The 17,319-nt window shown below is 43.0% G+C and overlaps 1 long non-coding RNA gene across 1 annotated transcript in view, besides 1 other annotated feature; it reads left to right on the top strand.

Moving 5' to 3' along the window:
• Positions 1-15,407, top strand: part of TMEM72-AS1 (TMEM72 antisense RNA 1) — a 148,666-nt gene extending 133,259 nt beyond the window's left edge. Inside the window, exons 5-8 of the long non-coding RNA NR_033842.1 lie at positions 63-279; positions 850-929; positions 3,143-3,241; positions 14,248-15,407. This is a non-coding gene — a long non-coding RNA (TMEM72 antisense RNA 1). The remainder of the gene's footprint in view (positions 1-62; positions 280-849; positions 930-3,142; positions 3,242-14,247) is intronic.
• Positions 16,438-17,100: an enhancer, noted in NCBI's record as "OCT4-NANOG-H3K27ac hESC enhancer chr10:45304779-45305441 (GRCh37/hg19 assembly coordinates)". NCBI's record gives its function as "activates a minimal SCP1, AML or CMV promoter by ChIP-STARR-seq in naive and primed H9 embryonic stem cells {active_cell/tissue: H9 hESC(naive and primed)}" and the evidence as "EXISTENCE:reporter gene assay evidence [ECO:0000049][PMID:30033119]".

The raw sequence follows: 17,319 nt of genomic DNA, 5'->3' as shown, positions 1-17,319 counted from the left end.
GCACCAAGGAGAGAGAGGCCACTTCTGCCTGACACATATATCTTCTCTCCTCCCTTGTCTAGGGTTAGGAACTGTCAGAGTGTGGCTCAACTGAGAAACAACTTTCTGAGTAGAGGTGGGGAAAGATGGGCTAAGAGGCTTCTGAGGTCATGTGTTCACCATCACTGAGGCACTGTGATGTGTTAGGTGGGTCTGAACCCTCTGGCTTCAGAGAGAGTGCCTGTGGGGCACCAGGTAATCCGAGACTGCAGCTCAGAGATTACTCCAGCAAAGGGTCAGGTAGGTGTGAGCCCTCCATTCAGAGAGAACTCTCTGCATTTTTTACCTTCTTTTATTTCATTCTTATTTAATAATCATTCTTATTTCATTAACTTGTATTTTAACTAAATGTATTTTTTCCTCTGTTAAAATTGTTTTTTGTTTACTTTGGAGTTCTTCTTAAATTGAATGTTACTTCAGTACAATATTTTAATTTATTTTCAGTATATTTTAAAGCCAATGCTTTTGAGGCTATAAATGCTCCTTAGAGTATTTTTTGGCCATATCTTATAGGTTTCGATAAATAATGTTCTGAATTACATTTCCTTTTAAAGAGCCTTTTTACCTTTGATTTCTTTTTAAATCTAAATATTATTTTGAAGTTTTTTATATTTTTAAATGTTAACCTTATTTTGGGGAGAGAGGCTATTCCTTTCTTCTTTGTTTCTGGGTTATTCTACATATGGAGTTGTTATAATTTTTCCTCTTTCAAAATTATGCGTTTAAATTGCATGCGTTCTGAGTAATACGATGAAATCTGGTGCCATCTTGCTGTGTCTCACTGGGGAGGTGAATCATCTCTTTGTGCAGGTATCCACACTGCCTCTGCTACCTGCCCGTTGGTCACTCACTCATTGTTCTGATGATAAGATCGACAGATCACAAGAAGGGTGAGTACAGTACAGTAAGATATTTTGAGAGACCACATTCACATAACTTTCATGAGTATATTGTTATAATTATTCTGCTTTACTATTATTGTTAATCTCTTACTGTGCCAAATTTGTACATTAAATTTTATCATAGGTGTGTATGTACAGGAAAAAGCAGTATATAGGGTTTGGTGCTATCCAAGGTTTCAGGCATCTGCTGGGGGTCTTGGAACAAATCTCCTGGGGATAAGGAGGGGGTACTGTACACTGTAGAATTTTATAAAATTTTTATTTATTATTTATTGTTTTTGGTAGAAACAATGTCTCCATATCTTTGTCTGTTTTCTATTTCTAGCTATACAATCAAGTTTGTTAGTTTTATTATTTACACCCTCGGTCTTTTGTGCTCTTGCTTCTTTCAATTTCTGACATGTTTGTTAAAATCCCATCCAGTTTTTGGAGGGAGATAAATACTTGCACATCTCTTTTGGGTTCTTAGTCCACTGGGAGCACAGCTGGATGAGTCCTAAGAACAGAGGTGGTTTTATTATGGAAAAGTAGTCTTGTGCTTAAGGGAAAAATGGAATTTCCTTTTCCTTTTCCTTCTTCCCCAAATTGGAGATTCTTGGTCCTGCAGACTGGATGACTAAGGTGCTCAACCAGCCAAAGCCTGGGAGTGAGGAGCATGAGAAGAGCACCAGCTTGGCCTCCCAGAGGCAGCAATGTGCCCAGCCCTGCAATGACAAAGCACAGGCAGGTCCTGGAAGCTGCAGGAGAAAGTAGAACATGCCCTCCCTGCTCACCTTTTAATGTGGGGAACTCAGTAACGTGGTCACGAGAATCCAATAGAAGTCACCTTCCCTGTGTTTTCCGGGTCAGAGAATTCCCTTCTGGATAGAGACCTGCACGTGAGGGAGTCTCCAGCCAATGGCTGGAGTGGTGTGCTTACCTCTCTAGAAATGTGAGAAGCAGGCGATTAGCAGGCCTCTGTGACAACTCTGATACTGTTGTCTTTCTTAATTTCAATCCTGTATGTGTTTGTGTGTAAGATTTTTGTATTAACAATACATTTAAGTTGACATAATTTGCCTTTTGAAGGGAAAACTTAGCCCAGTAATAGTTATTATAATCAGTGATATATTTGGAATTATTTATACAATCGCTCTAATTTTTTGACTTCTATTTAATAGACTTTATATCAAGAAAGAAGCAGTATAATAGTTAAGGGTGGGGGTTTTGCATTCAAATTCTAGTTCTTAAAGTTACTAGAAAGGCCATCATAAGAAAACCGCTTAATCTTTCTGCATCTAAGGCTTTTTGTCTTTAAGATGCACAACTCATAGGATAGTGAAAGAATTCTTTGATATTTATAAAGTGTTCAGAATAGTGCATGGCACCAAGTAAATGCACCATCAGCTATTACTGTTTACTTTCTTCCCAAATTTTTCCATTTATTAAATTTCTGTTGGTTCTTTTTTCTGATTGGTTTGATTTGAAATTTATACCTCTACTAAGGCTGTCCTCAGAGTTTTAATTAATATATATTTGTTTTATATTAAATGAGTTTTTTGTTTAATTAAAAATAATTTCAAGGCACTGAGATTTATGGTTAAAGTTGCTTTGAATACTACTGAAAACATAAACCAAAACTAGTAGAGAATGGAGAGGGAGAAAATGAACATCTTAAATGAAACAACAGTTTGCCACAACTTCAAAGCAGAAATGATGTAAAACGTTCACTAAATACCATGTCTTTCGACCAACATGAAATGAATGAGTATCATCCATGCCCAGAGACCACATACACCTCCTGGGAACACAGTAAGTACCCCAAACCTCCCAATTGTTGCTGTGACCACCCAGAAGTTGCTTTCAATGAACCCTAGACTAGACATGGTCTAATCCTTGGATGGTTTAATGATGGAACCACTTGGCCGCAGGTGACCCCACTCATCTGTACAGACACTTTAACATCTGTGGAATCCTGCATGAGGTCAAGGCTACTTTGTGTCCGTTGTTGATGCATTTGCTAGTACAATCCTAGTGCTCCACTTTACTGACTTCCTTTATGTGATGAAAGAAAAACCACCACATTGCCTCCCTTTCTGAGAGTTCACTGAGGCAGAAATAGCCCCAGTTGAGATGTGTTTGTAAGGAATAAATTTAATGCATTGTCTTGGCAGGAAGCATTTTCTTGGTGCCACTTTCCTAGGTGGGGTTTCTTCTTGCAGACTGTGGCTTGAAGTTCCAGAGCAGAGATGCACATTACTGTCTACCGCTGAAGTGAACTGCTGCCCCTCTGGAGTCTGGATATCATCAGAATGAAAAAGGTTCAGCACTTTTTTTCAGGAGCAGTAAATCACACCCTTTGTGAGGCGTACATTCAGTCTGCTTGCCTCTCTTTCTTCTAGAAGTGATGAAGCAGAGTGATGCCTTTGTCTTAACTCCTGTCGGTGTGGGGAGGGGTGTCTGGGCTGCCAGGACCCTCCCTCCAGGCCCATAGGCCTGCTGGTTCCTGACTGGATTCCAAATGCGCACATGTTCAGAGGTGCACCTTGCCTCCAGCATCCCTTGCATCCCCTCACACCCTCTCTAGAGCACACAGTCCCTTCACAATGCCTCACATCCATGGTTTAAAGCATTGGAGTCTTCTCTGCTTGGCTTCCCCAGGAGTAAGGGAGCATTATCAGATGGGCAGGGCCCTGCAGAGCTTTGTCTTTTTGCACACTCTCCCATCCCAGGTGACATGCTTGGAGCCACCATGCACGTCATTAGGAGGGACTTCCCATGCTCTTGGGAGGCCCAGGAATAGTTATGAAATTGTGTTAACTATAGAGACAAAACTAACAGATATAATATTAGCAGTGATTAACATAGAACATTTATTTGGTATTCAAAAGTTAATTGTGCAAATATGAGAGAGTGAATGTTTTGGAGTTTGTGGCTGTCTTGCAGCTTCAGTGGGAGCAATGACGTCACACATTGCTAACAAGGCCATGATGGGATGCATTAATGCAAAAATGGGGTGTCGATCACAGGAGGCGATGGTCCTATTGTCCTCTGTGCTGGCTAGTTTGTCTGGAACTTTGTAGTCTCATTGTCCATTGCATTATAGAAAGAACCTTAAAAGTGAGTATATGAGACAGTGGTAACATCTTGAGGGATCTAGAAACCATGCTGTTTGAAGACGAGTGGAAGAACTGTCTAATCCCACAGCGCTGTCTAAAAAAAGACTGGAGGAAAACGGTTACTGTCTCCAGATGTTTAAAGGACTGCAACAAGGCAGAGAAAACAAACCGATTCTGTGTAATCACCATAGGGTAGGACTTTGATCTGTAGGTGGATGTTGCTGGGGGCAGATTTTATTTCATTCCAAAGAGTAGCTTTTGAACAGCCCTGGGGGCAGCCCTGTGGGAAAGTGCTTACCATGTTGCCCCAGATGCCCAAGCCAAGGCTGACTGCCCTTCTTCTGGAGCTTGGGTGGATAAATGTGGGGTGTCCTGCCTCTGAGTGCAGGGGCTCTGCAGCTGTAGGAGGAGGCAGTGGCATGGCTCCCACGTCTGCAAGTCTTGGATGGGAAGGGCGGCCTGGACCAGCTGTACTCCTGGAGGGCACAGGCCTGCCAGCTGCCACAGGGGATGTTTGTCCAGCTTTGGGGCTCAAGCTGATGAAGTAGGCCTGGGGTTTCACCTGCAACCTCTCCTGCACTCCTGACATCTGAAGGGAAGGCCCCAACCCTGAGACTCAGACAGTCTGTCCACACCCTGAGGACGAGGCGGAGGACGAGCCGTCTTGGCTTGAGGATGAAAGACAGGGTGGAGCTAGGGATTGGGCTAGGCGCTCTCCTTCCTGGGGGTCTTTTCTGTTTGTGAAGCCCATTCCCATGAACGGGTGCTGTCCTCAGCATGGTAGGAAGCAGCTCTAGTGTTTAGAGTCCAGATGAGTCATTTGCCCAGCCAGTCCAGCAGGAAGCGCTTGGGCCGGTGCATTGGGCCGGTGTGTTGGGCTGGCCGGGTCCACCTTGACCACTGGGGGCTCTGCAATCACCTGCTAGGCTGGTTGGTGGCACCCAGCAGGGTTCAGGGGCCTACTCATCACACACGTGCCTGTCATGTAAGCTTTCAGCAGTGAGTCCCTCCCACGCCCTGTCATACAGGTACTGCTTTTTATAGGAAAAGGGGAAGCAGAAGGAAAAGAAAACTGGTGATAAATTTACTAATGAAAAAATCAAGTTCCGAGGGAATCCTGAAGTTAGTTTTCATTCTTTTCAATTAATATACACCTTTATTTTGTCTGCATTTTTAACTTTCGATTTTATATAATTTTATACTTTACGAAAAAGGTGAAAAAAAGCATAAAGAATTCCCATATACTTTTCGGTTCAGATTTCCTAGATGTCAATTTCTCAGGCCATCTGAGTACAGGGAACAACATCAGGAAATTAACATTGATAGAACATTCATCTAATCCATAGACTTTATGCAGATTTTACCAATTGTCCCATGAATGGCCCTTTCCTGATCCAGGATCCAACCCAGGTTTACAAGATGAATTTAGTGGTCATGCTCCTTAGCCTTTAATCTGGGAGAGTCTTACCTACACCTTTGGCAAGTTCATTTCTACAGAAGGAGAACTTATCCATTCAAGAAATGCCGAGTGTTTACTAAACCCTGTCTGTAGCCTGCTAGGAATGAACATCACATTGAAAAGTACTGACACCATCCCTGCCATTGGAGGGCACTCCATCTAGTGTTGAACACAGACAAGCAAACTAGCAGTATTCACAAAGAATGACAATTACTCTATGGGGGTGAGAAGGGAGCATATAGGTTGAGCAGGGGGACATCTAATCCATATAGGCTGGGAGGGCAAACACCTAATCCAATTTGGAAAGAGGCAGGAATGGATACTTAGAAGAGGCAATATTGGAGTTGAGGTCTTTGGGATGAGTAAGAGTTATTCAGGCTGGGAGAAAGATTTTGCTGGCGTGAAATCATGCAGGTGGTGGCAATGACATTAGTGAAAGCCCAGTGGCATGGGACCTCTTCTCTGGTCACTAAACTAACGTGCATTCTAGAGACTAAACATGAGATATAAGACAGAGGAAGCAGAAGCCACAGGTTTTGGAGATTGGTAGGAGGGAGAGGGTGAAGCATAGGGCGATGGAGAGGGTGATGATGGAGAGGGTAGTAGAGAGGATGATAGAGATGGTTGCGGAGGGATGGTGGAGAGGGTGATGGAGAGGGTGTTGGAGAGGATGATGGAGAGGGTGGTGGAGAGGGCAATGGAGAGGGTGGTGGAGAGGGTGATAGAGAAGGGTGGTGGAGTGGGGAGGGTGGGTGAGGGGCACAGTGAGAAGTGAAGCCCAGGCTTTGGCACTGAGTGGAAGCTGGTGTCATTCTCTAAGGCAGAAGACACATGGGAGGAATAGTTTTGAGGATGCGTTTGCACTGAAGTGTTTGGGTAATTTGAGTAAAGTTAGAGCATGAAGCTGAGGTTCTCTTGGTCCCCATCCCACAGCTTATGCCATGTTCTCAACTCTTTTCAACCCAGCAAGTCTTCATGGAGAAACTAGTAAAATGCAGACAGGTACTCCTGAGATGCAGGCTGAGTGCCATGGTCCCTGCCCTGGGAGCAGCCAGGGCCACCCACTATGGGCAGACCACATAATAAAGGTTGCCCAAGGAGACCCAAGCCTGGTCAGTGATGGCTCAGGAGAGCACCATAGATGGGGAACTGTCCCACCATGCAGAGCAGTGTGCTGACAGCGATGGAGCAGATGGCCAAGCCAGAACCGGCACTTGGCTGGGATTCCAAATGCCAGGGAGTGGTGGAAGCACATCCATTCCTCTGACCTGTTAGAGAAGGGCTGGGAGGAGCTCCTTCTAAATGGAAGCCACTCTGATAGCTTCCATTCTCCCATTTCTCTATGGGGGAAGTGGGGGCTCTGAGAGGGTAAGCGACTTGCTCAAAGCCACACAGGTAGTAAGTGCAGAGCCAGGACTTTGACAGAGATCTAAAACTAAAGCGCCTGTTTCTTCCCCTGTTCTATGCCCCTGATATCAAATGAAAACTCAAGTCTAGTCTGAGCAACTGTTGAAATCCATGGATGAGGTGAGAGAATGTCTGGATGGAGGTTGCAACCCTGGAGTTGTCACTGGCACCAGAAAAAGCCCTGTCCATCATCAGGAAAAGCCCTTCCCTACAAGCCCCGCAAGAAGAAATAGGAAGATGAGGCCTAATTCCAGGGAATGGGATTAAGGCCTGGCAGGGAGGGCAGTTACGCCAGCCCTGGCCTGGTGGCAGGACTGACCTTGGGCGAACAGAATGCAGCCAGGACAGTCAATGGCACCAAGAAGCGTCAGGCCAGATCTGGCGCGAGGCTTGGCCCTGATGCATCTTCCTTTTCCCCAATTCCGGATCTTTTTCTTGATTGACTGGGAGGCTGCTGGCGAGGCTCCAGCTGGGGCCTAGTTCTAGGGCATGGTGTTGATGTTTATAGAGGCTGTCTCTTCCCTTCTGACCCCTGCTCACCCTGTTTGCAGACCTGCTTTACTCGGACTGGCTGGGTTGGAAGCACTTAAGAAGAGGGGCTCTCAGCTGGATTCTTCCTCAGAGAGTCAGAAGTCTGCTCCGCCCCTCAGTCCACCAGCCTCTCAGCAGCTCAGCTGGTGGGGGAAGTCCAGGCAGCCAAGGGCAGTGTGGCTTTCCTGACTCCTCCAGGATGGGGCGGTAAGAGCAGAGGAGAGAGTGCAGGACTTGGAATGTGAGACCTGGGGCAAGTGATAGGCCCTGTTGCTCATCTGCTAGGATTAGAACTGAGGAGTTGGCTGCAATCAGGGAGTGTTAATTGATCTTGAAGGTCATCTGCCCAACCTATCAGCACTCTGTCTCTTCTCCACTCTTCTGGAGGCCCCAGAGGTCCCAGCTGAGCAAACCCACAGTCCACAGATTGGTACGAAATCTGCACTCATAGCCTGATTTGAGACCTGAGAGGTGGGAATGATGGCCAGTCTATAGAGGGACATAATCCAGGCTGGGTCAGGGTGTGTGCACTCCTGCTGTCGGAGAGCCTGGGAATCCAGCCCCAGCAAGCTTGCAGCCACAGAGAAGGAACACAGACAAGAAGCAAACCACTTCCCAGACATCCATGGACCACCACAGTCCATTCCAAATGGCTGGGCAGCACCTCTGAAGAATGAGTCTGGGGTCCCGCACTTATGACCCAAGGGCGGAAGTGAGCCAAGTGAAGATTCTTTGTGCTAAAATTTGCTTTGTGCCTTGGGAAAAGAACCTTGGGCTTCGCGGATCCCATTGTATCATGTGGCCTTGGCAGCTCTGGGAGATATTTTCTCTATTAAGCACACCAACAGCTGCTGATTTTGGCTAAGGTTTTCTTGCTCACTTCTTGGGAGAAAAGATGCTCAGCTGTCTACAAGAGCTACCAGTGGAAATCAAAAGCAAAAACACAGAACAGATGGGCCCGCAGGATGAAACCCTGAGGGGGGACGTGGGTTCCCATCCTCAGAGAAAGCTGCAAACCTCTGGCGGGTACAGTGTTCTCTTCTCCTCATGCCCAGGCTTGGCCTAGTGTGCTCACCTCTGTGCTGCAGGGCTGTGTGGATGTGTCTCAGGGCCTCTCCCACCCGACGTTTCAGGACATGAGACATAGGGGGACCGAGGATTTCTATGAGGGGACAGTGAGTGAGGAAACAAGGACAGGGACATTTCTTGGATCAAAGTATTTCACCCAACATCACATTACCAATTCTACTAAATGATTCCTTCCTTTCCGTGTCAATTTCTCCATTAATAGGTTCTGATTGGAGACAACCAAAATAACAGTTAACACTTGTGTTATTGTTTGCTAGTGCCAGGCACTAGTGTACAGATTTGCAAGAGCACACTTAATCCTCCCATTACTCTTGAGCTATATTCACTTTGCTAAGAAAGTTGAGGCTCAGAGAATAATAATTTATCCAAAGTCGTAGAGTTAGTAATTGGCATTACTGGTTTGTCTACCACCAAAAATTACTTAAATTCCAGGATAGACTGCCTTTCTGGGCAGACTGATGCCATAGGTTATGACTAACCTGTGAAGACAGAGACTTGTTTTTCATTAATTTAATACATATAAATATTAGTAGAAGCATGTATGTATACACACACACACACACACACACACACACACACAGAGCAAACCTTACTCAGCAGAAATGTATGTTCAATTCCCCTCTCAGTCAAAGAAACAAAAGCAAAGATGGCCATACAATCAAGAATCTCCAAACACTGGCAAGAAATCAACATCATTAAAAGGACATGTTGAATACATTAAAATTTCAAATTACATGAAGAAGATATCGCAATAGTAAAGGAAGTTTAGAAAATCAAGAAATTAAGAATAAGCGTAGTTAATATTAACATGTATAACATCACAGAAATGGATTGGAGTATTTTATATATAAATTAAAGCAAAAACTTTGAGATCTGGAGGGAAAAAAGATAAATGAAGTAAAAATAGTGGATTAAGGAACAGAATAAACATAGCTGAAAACTGAATTTGTAAACTGGGAAATGACAACAAAGAATTGTCGTAAAATGTATCCCCAAAGGACAAAGAAATAGAAAATATTAAAGAAACATTGTGAGACAAAGTGGATTTATCAGAGAGTTCCAAATTCCATCTAATAGGACTTGAAAAAGAAAAAGAAATGAGAATTGAAGGGAGAAAATAAATAACAGAAGACTTTTTTCTTTTTTCATAAATGAAGACATGAATCCTCAAATAGAAATAGCTCACTGGGTGTTAAATAGGATAACTGTAACAGACAAACCATAAGCACACCGTGTGGTGACATTTCAGAAAACCAAGAATGAAAAAGAAGTTCTAAGAGCTAACGAGGCAAACAAAAAATACTACAGGTTGTCTATAAAGAAATGCATACCAGATTGGAATCAGGGTTCTTAAAAGCAAGAAATTTCTGAAAGCAATAGATCAGTATCTTTAAAATTTTGTAATGTGTTATTTTGAGCTAGAATTCTAATCCAAGCCCCCAAAATTACAAGGTTAAAAATAGTTGTTTTAAGCAACTTTGAGCCCTTTTTTTTTAAGGACCCGAAGTTTACTAATCATAAGCCCTATTATCAGAAATTTCTGGCAAATCTATTCAAGCAAACTAAAACAAAAATATCAATAGTTAAACTGAGGAAGACTTGGGATGTTGGAAGTAGTGGTTAGCTAAATAAACAGTTAATTACTGATTCTAAAAAAGTATTGATTTTTAAGATAATTGTGATAAAACCTGGAATACATAATCCCCAATTATTTCATAATAGAATGGAGTCTCAAATATTGTTCTCCATGAGCACTGAATGTTTTTGATAACGAAAAACAATTAGTTTTAGTGACTCCTTTTTCTCAAGCTGTTTGTTCTGACAAAAAGACCAATTTTGTATTTGAAACTCAGAGCAGGCTTCTTCCCTTCAGTCACGATCTTGCCTTTTATCTCAACTGAGATGCTAAAAACAAATTCAATAAGAAAACAAGAAAGATCTCTTAGAAATTAAAAAAAAAAAAGATTTTGATTTAAAAACATTAGGCCAGGCGCGGCGACTCACGTCAGTAATCCCTGCACTTTGGGAGGCTGAGGCAGGTGGATCACTTGAGGTCAGGAGCTTGAAACCAGCTTGGCCAATATGGTCAAACCCCATCTCTACTAAAAGTACAAAAACTAGCCAGGCTTGGTGGTGTGCACCTGTAATCCCAGCTACTTGGGAGGCTGAGGCAGGAGAATCTCTTGAACCAGGGAGGTGGAGGTTGCAGTGAGCTGAGGTCATGCCACTGCACTCCAGCCTGGGCAACAGATCGAGACTAAATCTATAAAGAAGTGGTAGGTAAAGAGGTAAAAAACACAGAAGGCAGACAAAAAGGCATAGTAGTGATTAATGGAAAATAGCTAGATGCAAAATTAGAGGCTGGGCATGGTGGCTCACACCTGTAATCCCAGCACTTTGGGAGGCTGAGGCGGGCAGATCATGAGGTCAGGAGTTTAAGACCAGTCTGACCAACATGGTGAAACCCCGTCTCTACTAAAAAATACATAAAATAGCTGGGTGTGGTGGCATGCTCCTGTAATCCCAGCTACTCAGGAGGTTGAGGCAGGAGAATCGCTTGAACCTGGGAGGCAGAGGTTGCAATGAGCCAAGATCTCACCACTGCACTCCAGCCTGGGCGACACAGAGAGACTCCATCTAAAAAAAAAAAAGAAAAAATAAAAAAGAAAAAAAATAATTAGAGATTCAATTCAGAAGAACAGTATCTAACTAAGAAGTATTCCAGAGAACAGAGAAAACAATCAGAAGGAAATTATTGGAAAAATAATACTGGACAAACGCCCAGAACCAGTAGGCTTGAGATTTCAGATTGAAAAACCTTTGTGTATGCAGTATCATAAATTCACATAAATGAACAAAAAAAAATCTACCAGTGATACCATTGTGAAATTTCAGAAACAAAACATGATACTAAAACTGAGAAAGGTGAGAGAGAAAGAGAGAAAATAAACACAGCTAACATGCACAGGATTAGGATGAGAGGTGCTGACTTGATAGCAATGTTGGAAGTTGGAGGGCAGTGGAAAGCAATGCTTCTACAAGCTTGGGAAAATACAGATATTTTCAGACAAGCAAAGATTCAAACCACAATAAATTCCTGTATAACAGAGGGTAAATCCTTTCACCTTACAGGTCTTTTCTTTTATTCCTTTGCTAGGAAAGGATAACCATGCTGTCCCATTTACTTCACAGAGTTTTAGAATTAACTGGACCCATATCAAGTGTCAGTGTAGTACAGAATCTGTTTTGTGGGAACCTGGAGAAGTCATCAGTTTCAAGAGGTGGAAGGGAATGATGCCTGGGCCCTTGTTCAGTTAGAGAAAATCCACCTTGGAAACCATTTTCTGAGCATTTCCTTTGTGATTTTTGTTTGCATATTGTGAGTTTCTTGTCCTTAAGTAACTCATTTTACTTTGGAAAACAGATACGTGTTTGGAATATGGCACATACTGTGTATGCCACATACTTCCTCTCTTCAGCTGAAGAAATTGTTCAGTGGGGACAAAACTCCTGTGCATGTAATTCTCATGTACCAAAGCAGCCAGAGGGTGTGTTCAAGCCATATAAAGTTAAGAGCCAAACAGAGTAGAAAACATAATTTTTCAACCCAGGAAAAGAGTTCCCAACAAGTTATTAAAACAAAGAGGAAGAGCAAAAAAGAAGACTAAAGGCATGAAACCAGGTGAAGAATAACTAGGAAGATGAGGAACCAGGGAGAGAAGAGGGATATCAAGTATAGGAGGAATGCAGGATGGCTGTTCAGGATAAATGTTCAAGCCAGGGGCTCTTGCCAGGGGCACATGTCTATGCAGTGCAATGCATGCATGATCTTTCTTATGTAAAGGCTGGAGCATATGAATACAGTCTGCTATCTTTGAGTAAGGCATTCATCTCCATGATATTTGAACAATTCGGTCACTTTATTCAATTAGAGAAGAGATCAGAAATATATTTATAAGAGACTAGTGTGCAGACCAGTGTGGAGCTGGCCCAGAAAGGCAGAATGGAAAGGTGAAACCAAAGCTCAGGAGAGCTGGCTGAGTGCAGAAAGGGTAAGAGTTATGAAAGATGGAGCCAGGACAACATATTCCAGCATGTGCAGCCTCTGTGTTCAGTGCAGGTGCATATCTGGCATGATCCAGGTGTACCCTTGTAGGAGAGGACACTTGCGAAGAGCCCCATAAGGTAACGTCACTGAGGAAAGAATATGAAGACCATAGGATGGGCTTCAAAGATAATCACGGTAAGACTTGAAGGGATGGGAAACTTGATCAGGAAGAAAATGTAGAGTCCTGGGATAGTTCAGCCTGGAGGAAAAGACTAAGGAAAAGTTTACTACAGACAATGAGATACAGGAATTTCACACAAGATGGCTGCTACCCTTCTATGAAGGGAAATGGATCTATGTTAATAGCAAAAAGCAATTCAATTATTTATTCTTAAAAGAAAAACTTTGGACAAAATAAATTTAACAGATTGTATTTGAGCAAAGAATGATTCATGAATTAGGCAGCGTTCAGAACCAGAAGAGGTTCAGAGAGCTCCACTCTATATGAGAAGTGAGCATTTATAGACAGAACCTGGAAGTAAAGCACAGAAATAGTTCGATTAGTTAGCCATTGCCTTATTAGGGCGTGGCCTTATCAGTTGGCTGCCTGTGATTGGCTGAAGCTTGACTGCTTGACTGCTTATGTTGGCTGATATCTGGCTGTTTGTTACAACAAACTTAAAAATTATACTCCTAAATTAGGTTTCGGTTTGTTTATACGCTAAGTTGCAGTTTGTTATGTAGGAACTCAAAGTATGGAGATAGCCTTGGGTCAAATTTAACACTGTACATATAGAAAAGTTATATACATAAAAAAGTATATGTTTTATATATATAAAATATATGATTTATATATAACACATATCATGCTATATATGTAACATGTACTATGTAACATATATACTTATATATAAGATAGTAGAAGATTTTAAGTCTATATCAAATATGAATGGGTATTGTGGTATAAAACATAAACTTGTAGTTTTCCAGCAAATAAAGTTGGATATGATTATGATGAGTGATATCAGATATATGAGCAGATAAGTACAGATTATTGTTTCTTTATTTTTTATTGAGGTGAAATTCACATAACATGAAATAGAAGCATTTTAAATTGAACAATTCAGTGGCATTTAGTGCATTCACAGTGTTGTGCAACCATCATTGCTATCTAGTTCCAAAACATTTTCATTACTTCCAAAGGAGACCCTGTATTCATCAAGCAGTCACTCCCACTTCCTCTCCTGCCTTTTAACTTGAGAATTGTATTGATTTGCATTTAATATAATTCTTAATAGTATATGCATTATCTCAGGTCCTATTTGTTTGCTTTACAACACTTACAACAATGTGCAATTACTATACTGTCATTGATTTCTTATATTGGCCATGCCTGTCTCCCTAGTGGGCTGTAAGCTCCCTGAGGACAAGGGCCTTCCAAGTCTTGTTCACTGTTACACCCCCAAAAACCTCACTTGGTGCTTTCCTCAGGAAATTGATTTGAGTGAACTAATGTGAAAGGACTCAGTAAACTGTATATCGATGTGAACGAAATGAGAGGTATTTATTATGGAATGGATAGAGAGCAGATGCCAAGGAAGCTGGTGATTGTATGATGCTGATTTCAAGAAAGTGTGAATGACAAATATGCTACCTGGGTCCCTATTCCCACAGCGAGTGTCATGGGCAAAGCGAGGAGTCCAGCAGGATGGACGCTGTGTGGTTTCTCAGCTGGAGCGCAGCAGGAGCAAGCGTGGAAACATCCTTCTTTTCTCTTCTCCCCTCCCCTCCCCAAGTGCAAATGGAACCTGTGAAATATGGCTTGATTTTGAGGCTTCTAATTCTTCATTGCACTCCCAGACCCTTCTTTTATCTCTGGTGGCAGCCCTGAGAATAAATCTCTTGGTCACATTCTTCAATCAGTTTCTCCCAGAGAAAAGGTTAGGCTGCAAGGATGATAGGAACCAGACTTCAAATGGGTTTCCAGGAGCTGAGGGAAGGAAAGGTTTTTCCTACAGTTTCTCCAGCCAAGGGATTAAGAAAAGGATGGGGTCATAGAGCAACAGCAGTAGAAGGTGGCATTCCAAGACTTTCTCCAGGACTCCACCTAAGGTCAGTTTCTCGTCACTCATACCTGTTTGTCTTTTGCCTGGCCACCATCAATGTAGAGTTAAGAACCAGGAGGCAGGAACATGCTCCCCAAGTCACAGTCTGCCTCCCACATACTGCAGTTTGATTACAGCATCCTGCCTCTCCACAGGAGGAAAGTGGTGTCATTCTCCAGAACCAGGTGTGGATTGTGATCAGACCTAGAATTGGCTAGGTAAAAAGCTTAAGAGAGAGATTCCATGTCCTGCAACACTGTCCACAATTCAAATCTGTATTCAAAATAAAACTAAAAGCAGAGAAAATCCACAGCAGACCTACCACTCTCCAGGCAGATAGTGCCCTCTCCACAATCTGCAGCCATCAACTGCCTCTGCTGGACGCTGCCCAGAGAGAGACCTGCTGCTGCAGAGCAGCTCTGTGTCAGCCACTGCGGCCTTAGAGAGAGCTGCAGGAAATGGGACTTCTCACGTGCTCTCCACAGTGGAACCACAGGTCAGCAGCTGAATGGAGCCTCTACCCTCTGGATGCCTTTCTTGTCACTTAGTATTCTTTTTTTTCTCATTCTGGTACTTTATCTGCTGGAAACTTTCAAATGTATTACTAATGTCCTTCCAAACAGACTCCACATGGGAATTTTCATGATATCTTGGCTATATTTACACAAAGATTAGCTTGCAGGAAACACAAAATAAGTATGCATAAATAAATGAGTGGCTCAGCACACCAGAATTGTGTGTCCAGCTCCATCATTGACTGTTCCATCAAAGAGATTGCCCGAATTCCTCTTTTGAGGAGAATGACAACACTTGACTGCGTATTCAGACTCTTCTGAGGCTCCTCAAATATACACACTCATTGAATAGAGCAAGGCCTGAATCCTGGCTTAAAAATTCACTAATGGAATTTTAAGGCCTTCCTAAGGTAGTAGACTAGAAAGAAATTCAGTTTTCCCCAAATTTACTGCTTCAGTTTATGCCGAGCAATTCGGTGAGTGTATTAAGCCATTTTGAACAGCTGTAAGGAACTATGTGAGACTGGGTAATTGACAAATAAAAGAGGTTTAATTGGCTTATGGTTCTGAAGATAGGAAAAGAAGTGTGGTGCTGGCATCTGCTTCTGGTGAGGCCTCGGAAGCTTCCACTCATTGTGGAAGGTGAAGGGGGAGCAGGCATCTCACATGGTGAGAGTGGGAGCAAGAGAGAGAGGGAAGAGGTGTCACACACTTAAACAACCAGAGTTTGTGAGAATTCACTTATTATCAAGAGGACAGCACCAAGGACTTCATGAGGGATCTGTCCCATGACCCAGAAACCTCCCACTAGGTCCTACCTCCAACATTGGGTATTACATTTCAACTTGAGATTTGAAGGGGACAAACATCCAAACTCTATAACTCCTCCCCTGGCCACTTAAATCTCATGTTCTTCTCACATTGCAAAATACGATCCCCCCGCTGCCAACTCTTCTGTCTTAACTCATTCCAGCATCAAGCTAAAAGTACTAAGTCTCATCTGAAGCTCATCACTAGGCAGTGCCCCAGTGGGGACTTGGCATGTGGACTCCAACCCCACATTTCCCTTCAGCATTGCCCTAGTAGAGGTTCTCTGTGGGGGCTCTGCCCCTGCAGCAGGCCTCTAACTGGGCACCCAGGCTTTCTCATATAGCCTTTAATATCTAGGTAGAAGTTGTCAAGCCTCCTTCATTCTTGCATTATGTGCACCTTCAGGTTTAACACCACATAAGCCACCAAGGCATATGGATTGCAGCCTCTGGAGTGGTGGCCTGAGCTATACCTGGGGACTTTTGAGCTGCAGCTGGAGCTGGAGCAGGCAGGATGCAGGGAGCAGCATCCCAAGCCTGTGGAGGGCAGTGGTGTCCCAGGTCTGGCTCCTGAAACCATTGTTTTCCTCCTAGGCTTCTGGGCCTATAATGGGGAGTACTGCTTTCAAGATCTCTGAAATGCCTTTGAGGTCTTTTCCCCATTGTCTTGGATATTAGCACTTGGCTCTGTTGTAGTCATGCTAATCTCTCTAGCAAGTGGTTTCTCTGCAGCCTGGTTAAATTCTCTGCTACATGGCCAGGCTGCAAATTTTCTAAACTTTTATGCTCTGCTTCCCTCTTAAATATAAATTCCAACTTTAAGTCATTCCTTTGCTCCCTTATCTGATTATAGGTTGTTGGAAGCAGCCAGGTCACTTCTTGAACACTTTGTTGCTTAGAAATTTCTTCTGCCAAATACCCCAAGTCATCACTCTTAAGATCGGGCTTCCCTAGATCCTTAGGACATGAATACAATACCACCAAATTATTTGGGAGAGTGTAACATGGGTGACCTTTGCTCCAGTTCCCAATAAATTCCTCATTTCCATCTGATACCTTATCAGCCTAGCCTTCACTATCCATATTTCTATCACTATTTTGGTCACAACCATTTAATTAGTCTCCAAGAAGTTCCAAACTTTCCCTTATCTTCTTGTCTTCCTCTGAGCCCTCCAAACTCTTCCCACCTCTGTCAGTTATCTAGTTCTAAAGTTGCTTCCACATTTTCAGGTATCTTTATAGCAGTGCCCTACTCCCCAGTACCAATTTTCTGTATTAGGCCATTTTTGCATTGCTGTAAAGAAATACCTGAGGCTG

This window comes from Homo sapiens, chromosome 10 (assembly GCF_000001405.40).
Source record: "Homo sapiens chromosome 10, GRCh38.p14 Primary Assembly".
In the NCBI taxonomy this organism is placed as follows: Eukaryota; Metazoa; Chordata; class Mammalia; order Primates; family Hominidae; genus Homo; species Homo sapiens.
The sequence above is the reverse complement of the archived record's forward strand: the minus strand, read 5'-3'. Positions and strand labels throughout refer to the sequence as shown.